This window comes from Homo sapiens, chromosome 2, assembly GCF_000001405.40.
Source record: "Homo sapiens chromosome 2, GRCh38.p14 Primary Assembly".
Lineage (NCBI taxonomy): Eukaryota > Metazoa > Chordata > Mammalia > Primates > Hominidae > Homo > Homo sapiens.
The window spans coordinates 188,760,537-188,780,722 of NC_000002.12; the positions used below are offsets into that span (position 1 = coordinate 188,760,537).

At 34.3% G+C, this 20,186-nt stretch overlaps 1 long non-coding RNA gene across 1 annotated transcript in view; it reads right to left on the reverse strand.

Annotated features, from left to right (window-relative positions):
• The window catches only part of DIRC1 (disrupted in renal carcinoma 1), a 56,386-nt gene that overhangs the window by 26,799 nt on the left and 9,401 nt on the right, over window positions 1-20,186 (reverse strand). The window lies entirely within an intron of this gene.

Sequence of the window (20,186 nt, forward strand, 5' to 3'; positions counted from 1 at the left end):
TGTGTGGTGGGTTGTTATCCAAAGCTGAATGTTAAAAATCAAATATTTATTATTTGCTTTAATGTAGATTGGCGTCTAAAAATATTTAATCAACAAGTGAACTAAATGACAATTCTTATCCCCTGTTACTCATCATCAATACTGAATAAGCCAATTTAAAATTATTAAAGTTATTTCCTTCTTACAGCTTGTGAAAACAATTATAAGGAAAATGTTGGAGAAGAGGAAATGGAGATATAAAGAAAATAATGATTGTCTACTTGAAACAGAAAAATTACTGTCTTCAACCAGATAGATTTAATCAAATTTCAGTGATAATAAAAAAGTCTTATATGAAGTCTTATATGAAGGATATAATTTTGATAACATGAAAGCCAACAATTAGCAACTAAAGGCCTTAACACTCATAGTTCATAATTCAAAAACAAATAGTGCTTTTCCAACAGTATCTGTCATTGAAATCCAGGTACATGTTTGTTAGTAAAACAGAGTTTAATAGCAAGGTGAACATTTCTATTCAGTACTCTTTCTAGAATTTTGCTAATAAAGATATAAAGGAAAGAAGGTTGAATGCCAATAAATCTATGTTGGCAAAATGTTCATAGAGATTTAATGTCAAATATAAATCTTTTACTTCCAATTTTATTAAAGAGCCCCATAACTATGCATCATTTAGAGATCAGTGCATAATTCCAACATCCAAGGTTATTGTAACCTGAGGAAAAACCATTCTTAGTGATTAAAACTTCTAACTTATCAAATATTCGGTTGGTTTATTTTTCAGGGAAATTATACTAGCAAGTATCTCTGTGTGATGCAATATTTATATGTTCTTCTTGACAATTTTGGACAGGAAGCTGTCAACTGAGGAACAAAATCTAAAACATATCACAAAAGAGTGTATTTTGCAAAAACATGAGCCTTTCAATCAGAGGCTATTCAAGGGAGCATATGAGATCTCTTTGAGAAAACACAGTATCTGCAATACAGGGAGAAAAATTAAACTAATGATGTAAAAGCGCTAGTCTTCAAAGAAAATGATTCAGATTTAAGCTGCAATTGACAGAAATAATTGCCTGGTCTTATCGCTTTATCAACATATAGCTTTCACTTTCTTGGTGGTTGGTTTTGAAAAATTGATATTAATTAGATAATTAATTATGTATTATTAAAATTCCTGTGTAAAAAGAAGCCTTCTGTAGGTTCTTAATACACAATGACTTTCTTTACAATAATTGGCAAGTAAAGTAAAATGAAGTACAATGTATGGGAATTTTGTGAATTTATTTTACTCCTCAAACATTAATGTCATATGTATCATTTAACTTATTAAGTTTAAAATGTACAGATACCATTTTAATTTTAGATGTAACACTAAATTGTGAAATTTCAGGGGCACCAATTTACTTACTGAAATATAAATGGATATGCTATTTTAGCAGGAGTTGTTCTGGTAGTCTGTATGAGCAAGCTCATCATCCTTTTCTGCATATAATATAATATATGCTTTAATAGGCCAGAGATCACCAGGGAAATAACACAGAAAAAATGGAGTTTCAAAAGTAAACATACGCTTCTTTATACACAATAAAGAAAAGAAATCAGTACTTAAATACCATTAGGATTAAGAGCTTCTTCATCAAAAATAGAGACAACAGACGTGTTGAGGGAAAATTAATATAGAAACAAAATAGCAAATATAACATTGAATAGAAAAAATTAGCTAATTACAGTCTTTCATCTCTGCTTACTAGAGAAGCAAAGCCCAATTTTAAAGAAATGGAAATTGTTAGTGAATGCCAAGTGGATTTTTCCATGTGTTAAAGCTCTTTGGCGTAGAACCTATATGTATTTATCCAGATGTTAAATGTGGGAATTATGATGTTTAATGGTAACTGGAAGTGCATTTGAAGTACAGAATAGTAATAAAATATAGGTAACTATTTTTGCAAAAAACAATTCTATTTCATTCCTAAAGGAATCTAGGATCATACTCTGTTATAAATGTTAAAAAAATGGAGGTACAAACAAACACAAAATTGCATTACTTCTAAAGTTCACACTTTAGTTCACAAAATAGATTGAAATTTTCTAAAAAAGGTTGGATGTGAAATATTCAATAGTCTCTAAAAGATACATTTTAATATTATATGTTTAGGAATAACATTTTCTGAGTGTGCTCTGGTAATTCTTTCCATAGGAGGCTATAGGAGTGAGGCAGTACTGTACGGTGGGTAAGAACACGCACTCTGGGTCACCCAGATCTGGGTTGTAACCCAGTCCTACCATGTATAAACTGTGTGAACTTGAGAAGATCACTAACCTCTCAGAGCCTCAGTGTCCTTATCTGTAAAAAATGATGAGTACCCACCCCAAAGAACTCCTGTGAGTATTAAAGTCAATCAATTCAAATGATTATGATTATTATAATCAACAAGAAATTCTGTTCACAGTGTACTAGGTTGATTATGATTATTATGACCATCAAAAATGACCAAGTGTATAACAGAATAATTACACTCTTCTTGTTTCATGAAAGATATTACCACCAATGGTGCCCCAAGGTTTGGCTGATACCACTGAGAGATCTGTTGTCACATAAGAGGTGCCCCCCAACCCCAAATCATTCAGTTTTCAGTGAGCTTCAAGATCATTTTACCTCCATGCCTTGTGACTCTGAAAGTCCTTTTATCTCATTAGTTTCCTTAGTCTTCAGGAGCATAGTGAGTATGTGAAGAATCTAACATAAGATTGAGAAAAGTAGGCAGGTGCTAGGTTCGTATAGATTCTTGAAGATCATGCTAAGGAATTTTGTTTGTGTGCAATGATAAATGCATGAAAATATCACCATGGTTGCTGGGAGAAGGAAAAAAAGTGGCACTAATATTTGGTAAACACATATGGTACAATGATAATCAGCCGTGTAAATTCAGATTGAAATCTAAAACGGGGGAGAATCTCATAAGAATTTATATAAAAAGTAAATATGTTCTAAAGATATATAAAATACAAATTATCTAATTCATTTTTCAATATTTAACTTTTGCTCCAAAAATGTTTGAGAAATGGTTCTCAAAATGACTAAGCTAATAAAAAAATTAATATTTGGTTAACTTCCACTTTGTAACTCATGTTCTAGAAACTACATTTTATTTCTGTTACTTATTCCTCTCTTTGCTTTAACCATTATTAGTTTTCTTAAAAAGTCAGTTAAAATTATGTCAAGAACACATTAATCCTTGATATTCTACTAATCTTTACATCATTCTGAAACCTATTATTCAGACTAAATGAGCAAGTTCTCATGGAGTACTAATAAGAATAAGGTCAATGTTTTCATCTCCATAGTACATTAAGTAGCTTTGCTCAAAGCAAAACTCATGGTCTCAGACTCACCATTAATTCATCTAAGTTCATTTAAAAATTTTGCATTAGTCAAGGGTTGGGTTCCAGAACTTGATTATAATTGCTAGAAGTCAATCACAGAGGGGTAATTAAAAATGAATTGCTCCTTACTTAACTGAGAAAGCAGAAACTCAAAAAGGAACATTGGCTCCCACTGAAGAGAATGAGATTGAATGTCAATGACCCCGCTTCCAAGCCCAGTACTGTCATTATCTAATTTCCGAGAATGACTGGTTAAAACATTTTAGCTTAAAAAATAAAGTAAATAGTAATAATAATAAAGAGAAGAAGTAAAAATGTATTCCCCTCAATTTATTAAATAAGTGAAGTACATGGAATATAAGTCTAACTTTTGCAGAGAGGAAGGTCATTAGGATCTTTAGCATTTCCAAGAAACTTATCTTCTAGTTCTTACAAATATCCTTAGTGGGGTCTATAGTGGATTTACTTATTTTGCATAATATGATTCCCAAGTTCAAAAGGAGAAAACTTGCTGAGAAGAAGGTCTCTGGTGGTTAAGCAAGCAATTCCTTAGTATTCAGCAATAACAAATGCAACGAAGAAAAAATAGAATACCAATTATATCCAATGCAAAAGATTGGAAAGACAGACCCTATTTGGTCAATAACATCTTATAATGATAGAAATTCAGGGAAAGTCCACAAGCAGAAAAGTATGACAAAGCAAATGAGAAATAAAGTAATGAAAACTATAAGAGAAAATAACATTATCACAAGGCAGCAAGGGTCATTATTTAGTCCAATGCTCCACATTCACAACTGAATCTCTAGCTTTTTCTATGCAGCACAGTAAAATGATTTGAGAAAAAGGCACAACATTCTATATTTGGGGGGAATAGTTCTACCAAGAAAGGTTTACATTTTAAAAAGGAGGGGAAACAAAGTTTTATAGAACATTAACTTGCCCGACGTCACTTATTTCTCGGGGTTGTTGCATAATTGAGTTTTTAACTTTTCCTTTCAATGACATAACATGAAGTGTTGCATTTATTATTGTTTAAATTATATTGTTATGTAAATATTTGGTCTCTTCTTGTTTAAAAAAATTATTTCTTACAGAGGTATTATGTAAAAGTACAATAGCTTGTATTTAGTAAGTCTTCAATAATTACATATTGATTGATTATATTGTACATTGATTACTGATAAAATTATGTTTATTCCTACTTTCTTAGTTAAACTTTAACTCATTCATTCACATTCTAATTAAACTGGATATTGAATTTTTAAATTAGGAATTATAAACCTAAAACACATTGCTAACATTTATCAAAAATGAATAGTTAAAACATGAATAGATCCATACTAATGCTGTAACATTACACATAAAAAACTCTCACTTCTAAGTATTTTCACTAATTTAATTATTAGGATTTACTGATAGATTTCCAACTTAAGTAAATTAATATTGAAATATATTGTCAGTGTTAAATTTTAGAAGTGTATTGAAATATCATTCAAAAAAAGTCCTTTCCTTCCTTCCTGTGTCTTCCTTCTTTTCCATTCTTGCTGTCAGCCCCATATTTCAGTCTCTTTTTACTCTCTTTAGTATTATGTAGTGGCCTAAAATTATGAAGTCACCTTCATGCCTACATCTTTTACCAACTTCAGCTATTGAATATTGCTGAAAAATTAATTCTTCTAAAGCATGTGTATGTTGTTGTGTCACTAGCCTGTTAGTATCTCCATTGGCTTTCCTGATGAATGAGGTCCACGCTTCTCATCTTAGCCTTCAAAGTTCCCCACAAGGGGGCCACAATCTAACATTAGTGCTGGCTGTGTACCAAACACACTGAACAATTAACTACTCTATAAATTACTCATGACATGTGAATACTTGACTCCATTCTCTCTATCTGAATGCCTTGCCTTCTGTATTTCTGTATGCCAAAATATTATTCGGCCTCAAAGATGAGCTAGTTATTTTCCGGTGAATACCAATGGATTTTATTTGAGTCTGTCATATTGTTTTATCATCCTATCATAGTTTTGTGATTATGTTCAATGTCTCAATTTATTTGGAAAACTACCCAGTAGGGGTTGTTTTGTTTTCCTTGCAATCTCCTCTCTGCTCAGCATTGTACTTTTTTCACAGTAGATTCATTAAATATTAGTTAAATAGTTGAACTGAAATGTAAATGTGCCTTACTTTCCAAGTTGCCTTACTCAGAACTGAATATTAAATGTTTTGAAGTTGATGTAATTTGTATCCCTATGTTACTAAACCAAAATAGAAATTGTCCCATTTTGCATTTGTTCCCATTGTTTTCCATGGAATTGTCAAATGCTAAAATCTGATTTCAATTAGAAGAAATAGATAATGCATATAATTAGTGGTCTTGGAAGGATAAAAGAAAAATAAGCCACATTCCTATCTCATTAGAAATAAGAAAATTTGCTTTCTGAGGTGCTGGCTAACCATGAACCAAATCTCTGGGAGAATTTTTACCAATGAGTAAAGTCTCTCATTCAGTGGTTGTATTTATTGCCTAAAAAAGTGATTCTTAATTTTTTGGAGGTTATTTTTGTTTCATGATACTCATTCATCCTAAATATCCTTTCTTTAGAGTATTTGTGATTTCAAAAAAGATTAAATGAATTAAGATCTACTTTGTTCTGAAATCTTTAAGGGATAGTGGGGCTTGAGATTTCTATGATGCTGTTGAAAATAATTTTGGACATTCCGGGTTATTGCACAAGCAGATTGAGAAGCTCTGGCTTATGTCATTCAATGGTGCCACTTTCTTAACAAGAACACATATTGTGCATTTTATAAACATCTAGCCAGAATTAAATACGTAATCAGATTTTCAGCACTTTGAATCAAAATTTAATGATATGGTGAATCTAAGAAAATTTTTGGTTTGACTTGCGTAATTCATTAAGTCTCTCTATATAACCTTTTTACATTTATTAATAGCCACTAAAACATTTGACATTTCTTATTTGTTAAGTTTAAGTAATTCAAACAATACATTTTCCATCCAATGATAATTCCTTTTGTCTAAATATCATTTTATTAGAACCAGAATTTTTCCTGCATGTTGCTGCTTTACTCAGTGAACATTTGCATAATGTCAAACATTTGTTGTCCATGTTTTTTTTTTCACACCCTTTAAATTCTTTCAGCCCTTTTCTCTCTTACTCATCAGTTGGCTTAGATGAGAAGAATTACTTTTACCTGTTTGAATATGTCAATTCCATATATTTACAGAATACCTCTCTTCTTCATATTCCCATCAACTTTCTGAGACAAATATACCCAGAATGTTAATGTGGTTTTAAAAGAAACATACATAAACAAGTTATTGTTAAATTAATTATCCAAGAATAAAAATGGCTTTTAACACGTGTTCCATTATCCATCCACACAATGAAGACAAGCTGTTCTCTACTACTTTACAGAATTTGGCAGAGGAAGACTTTGAACTGTGAACTGAAGAAGAGAGAGAAAAGAACTCTATATAGATAGTTTACATATGTGTCCATGAGATTTTTCCTAGTGTGCACTAAAGTCTGTAGAAAATAACTTACAATGTCCTTGGTATTTCATGTGCTGTTTTATTGTCAATGTGGTAAAATTTCCATTGGCATAATTAATTTTACATTAAATCTCACCTTCCACTTTTGTGAAATTTTTTAAACAGTTGAGAGAAAACACTGCGTAAACAGAATTTTTTGGCAGCCTTGTACGACCTATGTGCTCTGAGAATCAGAGTTGGTGTGGTGGCCACCTCTCACTTACTTTTCCCCCATGTAAATTCTGCATTTTGGCAAACAAAAAAATGCTGAATGCCAAAGTTATGATAGAAAGTTCATGATGGTAATTTGTGAAATTTAAAATATAAAACAATTGTGGAAAATAGTCACCATACCTTATGTGAAAAATATCCTTGATATGAGCATATTCAATGTTGTTTAACAATATTTTAAAATGAGTTAAAACAGCAAAATGTGGATTTAATTCTCAAGAAAGGCCTTTCCAGATTAAAACACATAAGTAGACACAAACACATAGATGACACAATTTGATATGAAGTTAAATCTACCCACTGGAGCATACATCTCTTCACAGCTCTGCAAGACTGCTGGTTTGGTCTCCCGTTTTTAAGAACGGGAAAATCACTTCTCATAATTATACAACAAAGAGAGATCTTTTTCTTTTTTTAAATTTTTTTTAAATTATACCTTAAGTTCTAGGGTACATGTGCACAATGTGAGGGTTTCTTACATATGTATACATGTGCCATGTTGCTGTGCTGCACCCATTAACTCGTCGTTTACATTAGATATATCTCCTAATGCTATCCCTCCCCCTTCCCCACCCCATGACAGGCCCCGGTGTGTGATGTTCCCCTTCCCGTGTCCAAGTGTTCTCATTCTTCAATTCCCACCTGTGAGTGAGAGCATGCAGTGTTTGATTTTTTGTCCTTGTGATAGTTTGCTCAGAATGATGGTTTCCAGCTTCATCCATGTCCCTACAAAAGACATGAACTCATCATTTCTTACAGCTGCATAGTATTCCATGGTGTATATGTGCCACATTTTCTTAATCCAGTCTGTCATTGATGGACATTTGGGTTGGTTCCAAGTCTTTGCTATTGTGAATAGTGCTGCAATAAACATACATGTGCATGTGCCTTTATAGCAGCATGATTTATAATCCTCTGGGTATATACCCAGTAATGGGATGGCTGGGTCAAATGGTATTTCTAGTTCTAGATCCTTGAGGAATCGCCACACTGACTTCCACAATAGTTGAACTAGTTTACAGTCCCACCAACAGTGTAAAACTGTTCCTACTTCTCCACATCCTCTCCAGCACCTGTTTCCTGACTTTTTAATGATCACCGTTCTAACTGGTGTGAGATGGTATCTCATTGTGGTTTTGATTTGCATTTCTCTGATGGCCAGTGATAATGAGCATTTTTTCATGTGTCTGTTGGCTGCATAAATGTCTTCTTTTGGGAAGTGTCTGTTCATATCCTTCGCCCACTTTTTGATGGGGTTGTTTGTTTTTTTCTTGTAAATTTGTTTGAGTTCTTTGTAGATTCTGGATATTAACCCTTTGTCTGATAAGTGGATTGCAAAAATTTTCTCCCATTCTGTAGGTTGCCTGTTCACTCTGATGGTAGTTTCTTTCTTTCTTTCTTTCTTTTTTTTTTTTTTTTTACAAGGTCTAGGGCCCTTTATTTTATTTTAGTTCTGGATTACATGTGCAGGTTTGTTACATAGGTAAACATGTGCCATGGTGGTTTGCTGCACTTATCAACCCATCACCTAGGTATTAAGCCCAGCATGCATTAGCTATTTATCCTGATATTCTGCCTTCCCCAGCCCCTCCCCAGAAAGGCACCAGTGTCTGTTGTTCCCCTTCCTGTGTCCATGTATGTTCAGCTCCCCCTAATACATGAAAACATGTGATGTTTGGTTTTCTGTTCCTGTGTTAGTTTGTTGATGGTAGTTTCTTTTGCTGTGCAGAAGCTCTTTAGTTTAATTAGATCCCATTTGTCAATTTTGGCTTTTGTTTGCATTGCTTTTGGTGTTGTAGACATGAAGTCCTTGCCCACGCCTATGTCCTGAATGGTATTGCCTAGGTTTTCTTCTAGGGTTTTTATGGTTTTAGGTCTAACATTTAAGTCTTTAATCCATCTTGAATTAATTTTAGTACAAGGTGTAAGGAAGAGATCCAGTTTCAGCTTTCTACATATGGCTAGCCAGTTTTCGCAGCACCATTTATTAAATAAACCATTGCTTGTTTTTATCATGTTTGTCAAAGATCAGATGGTTGTAGATGTGTGGTGTTATTTCTGAGGTCTCTGTTTTGTTCCATTGGTCTGCGTTCAAAATAAGTTTCCTGACACTTTAAATAGAGGATCATATTATTTATAAGTAGTATTCATTTCCCCACCCTCACTTATAAATAGTCCCTTACTTAAAAGCAATTTCCTAGACTTGCTAATTATTCAGATGCATTTGATATGCTGCACAATATCCACCAAAATGCTACAATCTAGCCTAAATCCTAGTTAAAAAAAAAATGAAAGGAGGAAAACAAAGATAAAGGAAAACATGGGAGATGTGTCGGAAAATCAGACTGACAAAACAATTCATGTTCTCACCCATGCTGAATTTAACTCATTTCTCAGTTCTTGATATTAACTTAGACAGTGACCAGGCAACACTCTCACTGCTAATGGCATCACATTTATACAGAAGTACATAATTACTATACTTTTATAATATAGGATTATGACTTTTATAATAAACATCCAACTCAGCCTATTCCACTTGTATTTCGGTTACCTAAAGCATAGTGTCAGGGGGAAAGGAGTTTGTTATATGTTATTTTTTAAAAAATTTTTACTTCTCATCATTTGAATTTAAAGAATCTGTTTTTAACTTAACAAGAACAGTTTTGAGATTTCTTGTAACTCTTAGGTCCAAAGCTGGGTAGAATGTGTTCTTCTAAATGAAACGTGGGTGAAAGTGTTGTAGTGGACATGCATGGCTGGAACAAAGCTGGCTGGTCAGCCTGCCACAGCCACGTTGAGAAAGGGGAATAAGAAAGAGCTAACGTGATTTTTAAAGAGGTGCCTATGCTCAGTGATGGTTTCTGCCAGATTTAGTCATGTGCAAATTTTTATGTTTTCAGAATTAGGCCATTTATTATTCTGCTCCGTGAAAATTAATTAGACGCTAATTAAATCCCAGGCATGGTAAACAAATCATGGTTTCATGGAGTTTATAATCTAGTGAGAAAGACAAACATTAATCAAACTAGCATCATACAAATATATGCTTTTTTATATATAGCAATAAATATATTCTTGGATACTATGGAGAATTAGGTGTGTGAGACTGTGAGAATGTAACGTAAGAGTGTTTGACCTGACCTATAAGGCCCAGAAAGTCTTCCCTAAGAAGGTGAACTATGAAATACAACTGGGAGTTAACTAAGGAAAGAAAACTGTGGGTAACAGCAGATATGCTACATGCAGAGGAAACGTCATGTGCAAAGTCCCTGTGATGAGAATCAGTTTGCCTGTTTTCTTATCCAGCAGCCGTTGGTTAAATGAGATGTCACATCCCTCTGATGCTTGAACCAATACTACAAATACACTCCGCAGAGGGGCTTGCAGCCATTTTCCAGAATGATTGTTACCTGAAGACAAATAACTCCCAGATTTTTGAGAACTGTTGTATCTGATTCTAAGCTGTAACTGACACCAGAGAATCCCGAACCCCATCTTTCCCTTGGGTTGAATTACAGATTTGTGAATACCGGGTGATGTAAGGAGAGTTCAATGTGTCTCTGAACCACATTGTAGTGATTTTCCCCATCCCAGAATGTTTACATGAGATGGATTTAAATGATGTCTTGTAGAACACTCAATTGGTTCTTTGGTGGCTGGAGTAAGAGCCATTAAGCCAGGAAAGGCCAAATGGGAGCCCTTGTACCACACAATGACCACCACTGTGACCAGTGTGAACCCAACAGTCCCTGACCTGACAAAGATGTTGAATTAGAACAATACTAATACTACTGAAGACTTAAAAAAGCAGGATAGAGTCTCCATGATAGGTCCACTCAATTGATCTATTTAGCCCTAACCCAAACCAGGTAGACTGTGGAAGCTCTAAAGTTAACTGCATTGTAGCTCTAATAGAAGTAGCTGAGCAAGAAGTACTATTGTGGCATATCAGCCCAGCCTTTCACACTTGTTCTTTTCAAATTTATCAATAAAGGGAATTGAAAGTAGTTTGCTAATTTATGGGAAAGAAAGTAGTGCACATTCACTATCTTGATCACTAAAGTAACACCCCTGTGGTCTGTCACAATATAGTCTGTTGGGTCATTGATTGTTTTAATGTTCTGTGGGATATCATCCTTGTCTGCTGCATGAATGATATCATGCTAACTGAACATGATAAGCAGTATGTGGTAAGTATTTTGTATGCCCTAGTCAGATACTTATGAACATGGAAATGGTAGGATATAAACTCCATGAGGATTCAGTCATTTGCTAAATTAGTCAACATTTTGGGTGTCAGAAGTATGCTAGAATGCTCCTTTGTGAAGTTAAATACAAGTTATTGCCTCTTTCACCCCTTATTACTAAGAAAGGGGCATGCCACTTGAAAGTTTATGAGGATGTTGAAGGCAGTATATGGTACATTTGGGGACACTTCTCTTCCATATTTATCAAGTGAATCCTAAAGTTGTCAATAGAAGAAACTAGCAAGTCAAGGATGCCATACATGTTGTTCAACCACTCAGGTTGTAGATATGGCACATCCAGTGGTGCTAGATATGTGTGTGGTAGATAAGGATGCTCAATGGAGTCTTGGTAAAAATAATAGCAGTGTAGCACAAACTCCTAGGATTATGGAGCTACTCTATCTTTAAAGAGCAAAATGTGGCTAAATACAATAGATTTTCTTTCTCTTGAGTTTTCTAAATTATGTTTGACAATAAACACCACGATAATAACACTGTCTGATTTGGTTCTAAATATCTGTGGAGAAAAATATTTAAGACAGTTATATTATAAATGAGAAAGGGTCAAGGAACATAAAGGAATATAAGGTTTCTTCATATTGCTCTAGTTGGTAAAATGACAACAGTAGCATATGAGGTGTGTGTGTGTGTGAGTGTGTGAATACATATATAGTAATAACTGGAGTAGTCAGTGAAAAGCTATACAAAAGGACACACTCAAAAACAGTATAAATCAAAATAGGTTTCTCCAAAATGTTCAAGTAGCACACAGAAAGGTAAGAAAAAGACAACAGAGATGAAAATCAGAAAGAACAGAAGAAAAAAATAAAATGGCAGACACAGTGCTAAATATTGTTATAATAAATGTAAAGTCTTAATGAACCAGTTAAAAAACAAAGATTGACAGGATAGATTTAAAAATATGATCCAAATATATGCTACCTACAAAAAACTAACTTCAAATAAAATGGTAAAGTGAGGTTGAAGAAATTAGGAAAAATTAAATATCTTGCAGACATTAATTGAAAGAAAGCAGAAGCGGCTAAACTAATGTAGTAACATGCCATGAAATGATATTTTAGTCAATGACAGACTGCATATACCATGGTAGTCTCATAAGATTACAAAATTATATTCTTACTGTACCTTTTCTATGTTTAGATACACAAATACTTACCATTGTGTCCTAATTGCCTACATTATTTAGCACATAGCATGCTGTTCAGGTTTGTAGCCTAAAAGCCACAGGATGTATAATATAGGCTAGGTGTTTAGTCAGCTGTACTATTTAGGTTTGTACAAATACACTCTACAATGTTTGCACAATAATGATATTGCTTAATCACTCATTTCTCAGAAAGTATGTAATAAGAGATGCATGCCTGTATTACATAGAGTAGAATTCAAAGTAAATTACCAGAGATAGAAGGACATTATACAATTACCCCTCCATATCAGTGGGTTCTGCATCCATGGAGTCAACCAACCATAGATAGAAAATATTTATTTTAAGAAAGGATGATTGCATTTCTATTGAACATGTAAGACTTTTTTGTCTCTTGTCATTATTCCCTAAACAATACAATATAACAACTATTTACATAGCATTAGTATTATAGTAGGTATTATAAATAGTCTAGGGATGATTTAAAGTATAGAAGAGACTATGCCTAGATTATATGCAAGTACTATGCCATTGTATATAAGGGACTTGTATTTTGGTACCCATGGGGGTTCCGGAACCAATCCTTGATGAATATAAAGGGATGAATGTATGGTGATAAAATAGTCAATCTACAAAAAAGACATAGTGAACCTAAATGTTTATGTACCATACAACAGAATTGCAAAATGTATGAAGCAAAAATGATTCACATGAAAGATAAATAAATAAATAAATAAATAAATCTTTAATTATTGTAGTTGTAGATTTTAACACTCCTCTGTTAACAATTGATAGAACATTTAGACAGAAAAACAGCAAGGATATAGAACCTAACAACACCACTTCTAAACAGAATCTAATTGACATTTATTGAACACTTTCCTCAACAACAGCAAAGTACATCTTCTTTTCAAGTACTCATGGAACATATACCAAGGCAGGTCATATCATTAGCCATGAAACAAATGTCAACAAATTTTTAAAAACTGAGATAATATGGAATGTTCTTTCCAAATACAATACAATCAAGCAAGAAGTCATCAATAGAAAGATAACAGGAAAATCTTTTAACATTTGAAAACTAAGCCACATACTATGAAATAACTCATGGCTCAAAAAGGAAATCTCAAGGGAAATCAAGAAATGCAGTGAACTGAATGAAAATGAAAATACATCAAAATTTTTAAGACACAGCAAAAGCAGTGCTGGAAGGAAAATTTGTAAGATTAAAAAGAGTATAGTAGGAAATAAGAAAAGTTGCAAATCAATAGTCTAAGCTCAATAATCAAGAAAAAGAAAAGTAAAATAAACCCCAAACAACTAGAAGGAAAGAAATAATAAAGATAAAAGCAGATATCAGTGAAACTGAAAAAAAAGAAAGAGAAAAAGCAATGAAACAAAAAGCCTGTTCTTTAAAACTATTAATAAAATATTCAAACCCCCAGCAAAACAAAGAAATAAGAAGACAAAAAATACTAATATCAGGAATGAAACAGGGCCTATTACTACAGACCAGATACAATAAATATTAATAGGACAAAAAATGAATAATATGAGTAAATCTCCACTGTATCCTCACCACATTATTTCCAGTATCTTGGCCATGTCTCGTACTACAGTTCTGTATTGCTTCTGTGTGCATGGGATCACTCTGTATTATTTCTTACAACTGCATGTAAATTTAAAATTATCTCAATGTTTGAAGTTTATTTATTTATGTATGTTTATTTTTATTTTTGAGATGGAGTTTCAATCTTTTTGACCAGGCCAGGGTACAATGGCGCTATCTCAGCTCACTGCAACCTCCGCCTCCCGGGTTCAAGCGATTCTCCTGCGTCAGCCTCCCGAGCAGCTGGGATTACAGGCGCCTGCCACCACGCCTGGCTAATTTTTTGTATTTTTACTAGAGACGAGGTTTCACCATATTGGCCAGGATGGTCTCGATCTCTTGACCCCCTGATCTGCCCGCCTTGGCCTCCCAAAGTGCTGGGATTACAGGCGTGAGCCACCGTGCCCGTCCTTGAGGTTTATTTTTAACAACAAACAGGTACTGATGCTACTGTTTTTGTAGTGAAGACGTTATCTGTAGTTTACTGAGTGACTATGAAACTATAATTGCTCATCATTCCTTCTTTGCGGGGGTACAGGATATTTCTTTCACCCCAGGTGGAGTTCAGTGACACAATTATACCTCGCTGCATTCTTGACCTCCTAGACTCAAGTAATCCTTCCATCTCAGCCTCCTGAGTGACTGGGACTACAGGTGTGTGACACCACGTATGGCTAATTTTTAAATTTTTTGTACAGACAGTGTCTCAGTATGTTGACCAGGCTTGTCAGAAACTCCTGGGCTCAAGTGACCTCCCAATATGCTGGGGATTACACGTGTGAGCCACTCTACCCGGACTCATTATTCATCACTCCTTTTTAAACTATGGAAGATAAGACATGTGTTTATATGTAATTCTACATTTATACACAATTTTATTATATGCATATAATCAATAAAATTATATTTTATTGATATGTACACAATACAATTCCATCACTTAAAATGGACAATTTGATAGTTTCTAGTAAATTCACAGATTTGTATAACCATCACTACAATCAATTTAAGAACATTTTCATTACCCCCAAAAGAAACTTACCAGTTAGCTGTCTCTCCTCCAATATCCTTCCTCCCCACAGCCTAGGCAAGCATTAACATACTTTCTGCTTCTACAGAATTGTCTATTCTGGATACATTAAATAAATGGAAATATGCAATATGTGTCCCTCTGTGACCAGCTTCTATTAGCATGTTTTCAAGGTTCATCTCATGGGAAGTCATTATTTTGTTCCTAAAGATATCCATGCCCTAATCTCTTTGTGCATGTGTTAGGTTACCTAGAAAAGAGAATTAAAGTTGCAGACAGAATTAAGACTGTTCATCAGTTCCCTGAAAATAAGATTGTCCTGGATTATCAGGAAAATCCAATGTCATCACAAGAGTGCTTAAAACTGCAAGAGAAAGAAGAGGAGGTCTGAATGATGTGTGAGGACTGGATCCACCATTGCTGGTTTTGCAGGTGAAGAAAGAAAGTCATGAACCATGGAATGTGGTAGTCTCTAGTTCCTGGAAAAGGTTTAAAAAAAAAATATTCCCTGTAGAATCTCCAGAAAAGAACACAGCCCTGCTGACACTATCTATGATTTTAACTCAGTGAGACTTCCAATCAATAGAACTGTAATAGAATAAATTCGCATTAATTTAAGACACTAAATTTGTGGTAATTTGAACTAATATATTTTTAATGTAAGTCTTTAGAGTTATGCATTTCTTTCCAAGCACTGCTTTAACTCCATTCCATAATGTTAGCATGTTGTGTCTTTATTTCCATTCATCTCAAGATAGTTTCTAATGTCCTCTGTGATTTCTTTTTTGACTTACTAATTATTTAGGATTGTGTTATGTTTCACATATTCATAAATTTCCCTAATTTCTTTGTTATTGATTTGTAATTTTATTTCATTTATGCTAGAGAGCACATTTCCTTAATTTAAATAATCCTTTAAAAGGATTATTTCAATCCTTTTATATTTTCTTTATGTATTAAGGCTGGCTTTGTGGCTATCATATGGCATATCCTGAAAAAATATTCTATGTGCACTTGAAAAGAATGTCAAGTGTGTAATGCTCTTGGAATTGGATGTGCGTAATGCTCTTGGAATTCAGAAAGTAATCAGAGAAAACATTGTTAGGCAAAGAGATAGAAACTTGTAGAATACACATAAATATCAGATAATACATATGCTTGACTCTAATTTTTAGGACTAATGTGATTGAGAATATGTTATGGACAAACCATGGGAAAATCTTGAACACCAGGAGAAAGAACATGGGGATTTTTTTCTAAGCTTTATAAAAGCAGTGGTTGGGCCGGGTGCGGTGGCTCACACCTGTAATCCCAGCACTTTGGGAGGCGGAGGCAGGTGGATCATGAGGTCAGGAGATCGAGACCATCTTGGCTAACACGGTGAAACCCCGTCCCTACTAAAAATACAAAAAATTAGCTGGGCGTGGTGGCGGGTGCCTGTAGTCCCAGCTACTCTGGAGGCTGAGGCAGGAGAATGGCATGAACCCGGGAGGCGGAGATTGCAGTGAGCCGAGGTGGCGCCACTGCACTGCAGCCTGGGCGACAGAACGAGACTCCGTCTCAAAAAAAAAAGCAGTGGTTGATTTTGAAGTTGGAGAACAAATGTTCAGTGCCTTACTTCAGGATGAAAAATACTTGGCACTAATGTGGAAAAAAAATAATTCAAAACTCTGCTATTGATCTACAAATTAAGTGTCCCTGAATGAAAATGTGTTCCTTATATACGTACTTTAGAATTGACTGCAGGGATTACAATCTCGTTCATCATTGCTAGCAAATATCCACAACTAGTTTCCATCTCCACCTTCTGCCTGTTGAGTACTCATTCTGTGACCTCAAGAAATGCACCTGATTTCTTTAAGCAAACCTTCTAGAAATCACTTTGATTGCATGTAAGTACAGAGAATTTACTTAAGTATACCAAAGTCGTAAGTAGCAGTAGGACTCAAACAGCTTTAGATTCTGAGGTTTACATATGTATTTACCAACCTAGACTATTAAATATTTTATATAGTTTTTATAAACTGGATTTATAGTTTTAAAGCTAAATTTTGAGATAACATTGTTACTCAAAAAAGTTATTCTTCCCTGCAATCTTAATTCAAATGATTCATTCATATGGGAGCATTTCTAAATAAATTATATGATATCGTATGACTATTTTTAAAAAAAAAACAGCATAAAAATGGAAATACATTTTTTAAAAGAATTTTCTGAAACTCTTGTTGGATCTATTTGAGATTTGGAAAATAACCTTAAAGGTGTTTTAAAGTTGAAATTAAATTTATAATGTTACTTCTTGAGCATTATAACACATGAACTGGGAATGTAGGGTTAAATTATAAAAATAACAACAGGCACACTACTCCTTCACTGCAGTTCCACCCTGAGTACAGATAGTTAAATTCTGTAGAATAATCCTGCAATCAGTCCCTTAAACGTTGTTATTATTTGAGGTTCTGTTCTAGTCATCTCTTGGATATTTCCCTGAACCTTTAGTAAATCACATTGTTCTATGAAAGTGGTTGCATAAGAAACCATTATTTTGACATCTATTTATGAATTTTCTAGGCTGAGTACAGATTTACTTGTAAGATGCTATTATTTGCAAAGACAATATGATTTTATTCCCAAATTCTGATTTTATTCTAATAATCAACACCACAAGAACATAGAACCAGCTGCAGAAAATGATTTCTGTGGTATGTTCCTCCTGGAGTCAATAATATGCATCTTAGGAGTTTGGTTTCACTAATACAGAGGTACTTAGATGGTGAATGCTGCTATTTCTAAGGAGAAGCTTATCTTCCCGTTAAACTCAATCTACCTACAAAAGTGAACAGAAGTTTAAGTCAAGGGTGAAAAAGTGCCTCTATTAAGTTACAATTAGGCCAATCAATATCTGACAGAGATTAAAAGCAGTGACAAGTTTAAAACACATTTTATTCATGGACAACCATAAAATTATAAATTGTAAAGAATATTAAGTTTTGCCTATGAGTTTCATTTTTACCAGAATTTGAAAATAATTCAAGAATTAATATTACCATTGTTATTTAAAATGACAATCACATCTAGTCATTTTTTAATAACTTGAATAGCATTATAAGAAAATGAAACAGAGCCAGAAAGAGGTTTCGAAGCCCTAAGCACTGAAAAGATTATCGTTTTCCCTGCTTTGGTTTAAAATAAAAAAAGATGAAGTAACTTGTAAAGAATGCAAAATTTTCTAATTTTTTTCATGAAAACGACTTCAATTTATTTTTTATTTTTTGTTTTTTTGAGACTGAGTCTCGTTCTGTCACCTAGGTTGGAATGTAGTGGTGTGATCTTGGCTCACTGCAACCTCCACCTCCTGGGTTCAAGCGATTCTCCTGTCTCAGCCTCCTGAGTAGGTGGGCTTACAGAAGCAAGTGGACACCACCACCACACCTGGCTAATTTTTATATTTTTAGTAGAGACGGGGTTTCACCATGTTGGCCAGGCTGGTCTCAAACTCCTGACCGCAGGTGATCTGCCTGCCTTAGCCTCCCAAAGTGCTGGAATTCAACGCACCCAGCCAAAAACTACTTCAAGTTTTTTGAAGTACCAAAAATAAAACTATTTCAAAAACATATTTAGTGCCTTGAATTTCTGCTGCATGCACTTGGCCTCCCTGGGAATTAGATTAATTGTCATGCTAGGAGATATTCTCCTATTCAGTCTGAAGGCCTAGGAAGTCACACAGGATAGTCTTTGTTTTGTTGGGAGGATGGGCACTCTGTGGTTAATGAGAATGGTTACAAATGGGGCAAACAAGAGAAAAATAACAATCTTATAAACTTCCCTTTGCTACTGCTATTATAGTCTTAATGAAAAGCCGCTAGATGCTACTGGCCCAAGTGAGAAGTAGTCATTGTATCAATTTAGTCCCATAATAAGTTGGCACAGTCCATTTTTTAATTATTTATTTTATTATTTATTTATTTATTTATTTTTTGAGATGGAGTCTCGCTCTGTTGCCCAGGCTAGAGTGCAGTGGCGCCATCTCCGCTCACTGCAAGCTCCGCCTCCCGGGTTCAGGCCATTCTCCTGCCTTAGCCTCCTGAGTAGCTGGGACTACAGGCGCCTGCCACCATGCCCAGCTAATTTTTTGTATTTTTAGTAGGGACGGGATTTCACCGTGTTAGCCAGGATGGTCTCGATCTCCTGATCTTGTGATCCGCCCGCCTTGGCCTCACAAAGTGCTGGGATTACAGGCATGAGCCACCGCGCCCTGCCGGCACAGTCCATTTTTTAATAGTTCTTAACAAAGTTAGAAGTCTATAAAAGGTGTTACTTCTAAGATATAATTTGCGAATCTTTTGCCATTGGGTATTCAAATCCAAGTTCATTTGTTCTCTCTATATATCAGGTCTGGAACACATATTTTATCAAGAACGGATAATGTAATAGGCCGCTTCTTGGACTGAATGTGGTCAGTATTACATGTCTAATGCTTTTTCCTTCCTAGCTTTTTAGCTTAGATTTTCTTTTATGCCTGACAAATTAGACTATTCAAATTTTACTAATGAACTTAATATTTCTCCACTGAGAAAAAAGATTAGTTTATTTTACTTAAAAATGAAGACAGTTTTCCTTAGGGAAATGCATGATATGTTAATTCTTCATAGTCTACATTTATGTGTTTTCAAAACTCCTTTCCTTTTGGCTGACAGTATGAAAATTAGGTATTCTTGTCAAATAATGCATCTGTGTGGGAATACTCACTGACTAAAAGCTGTCACGTAGTTGAAGGCATGCAGAGACTGGGTCAGTCTGGTTTTCTGGTTTTCTTCTGCCACATTTAGTTGCATGAATTTGGGTAATAACAGCTCCCCTCACTCAGTTTATATTTTTGTAGAAGGTTAATAAGTGCTAAGTTAACAGTAAAATAATAATATTTAAAGTGATAGATTAAATCATTGAAAAATTTG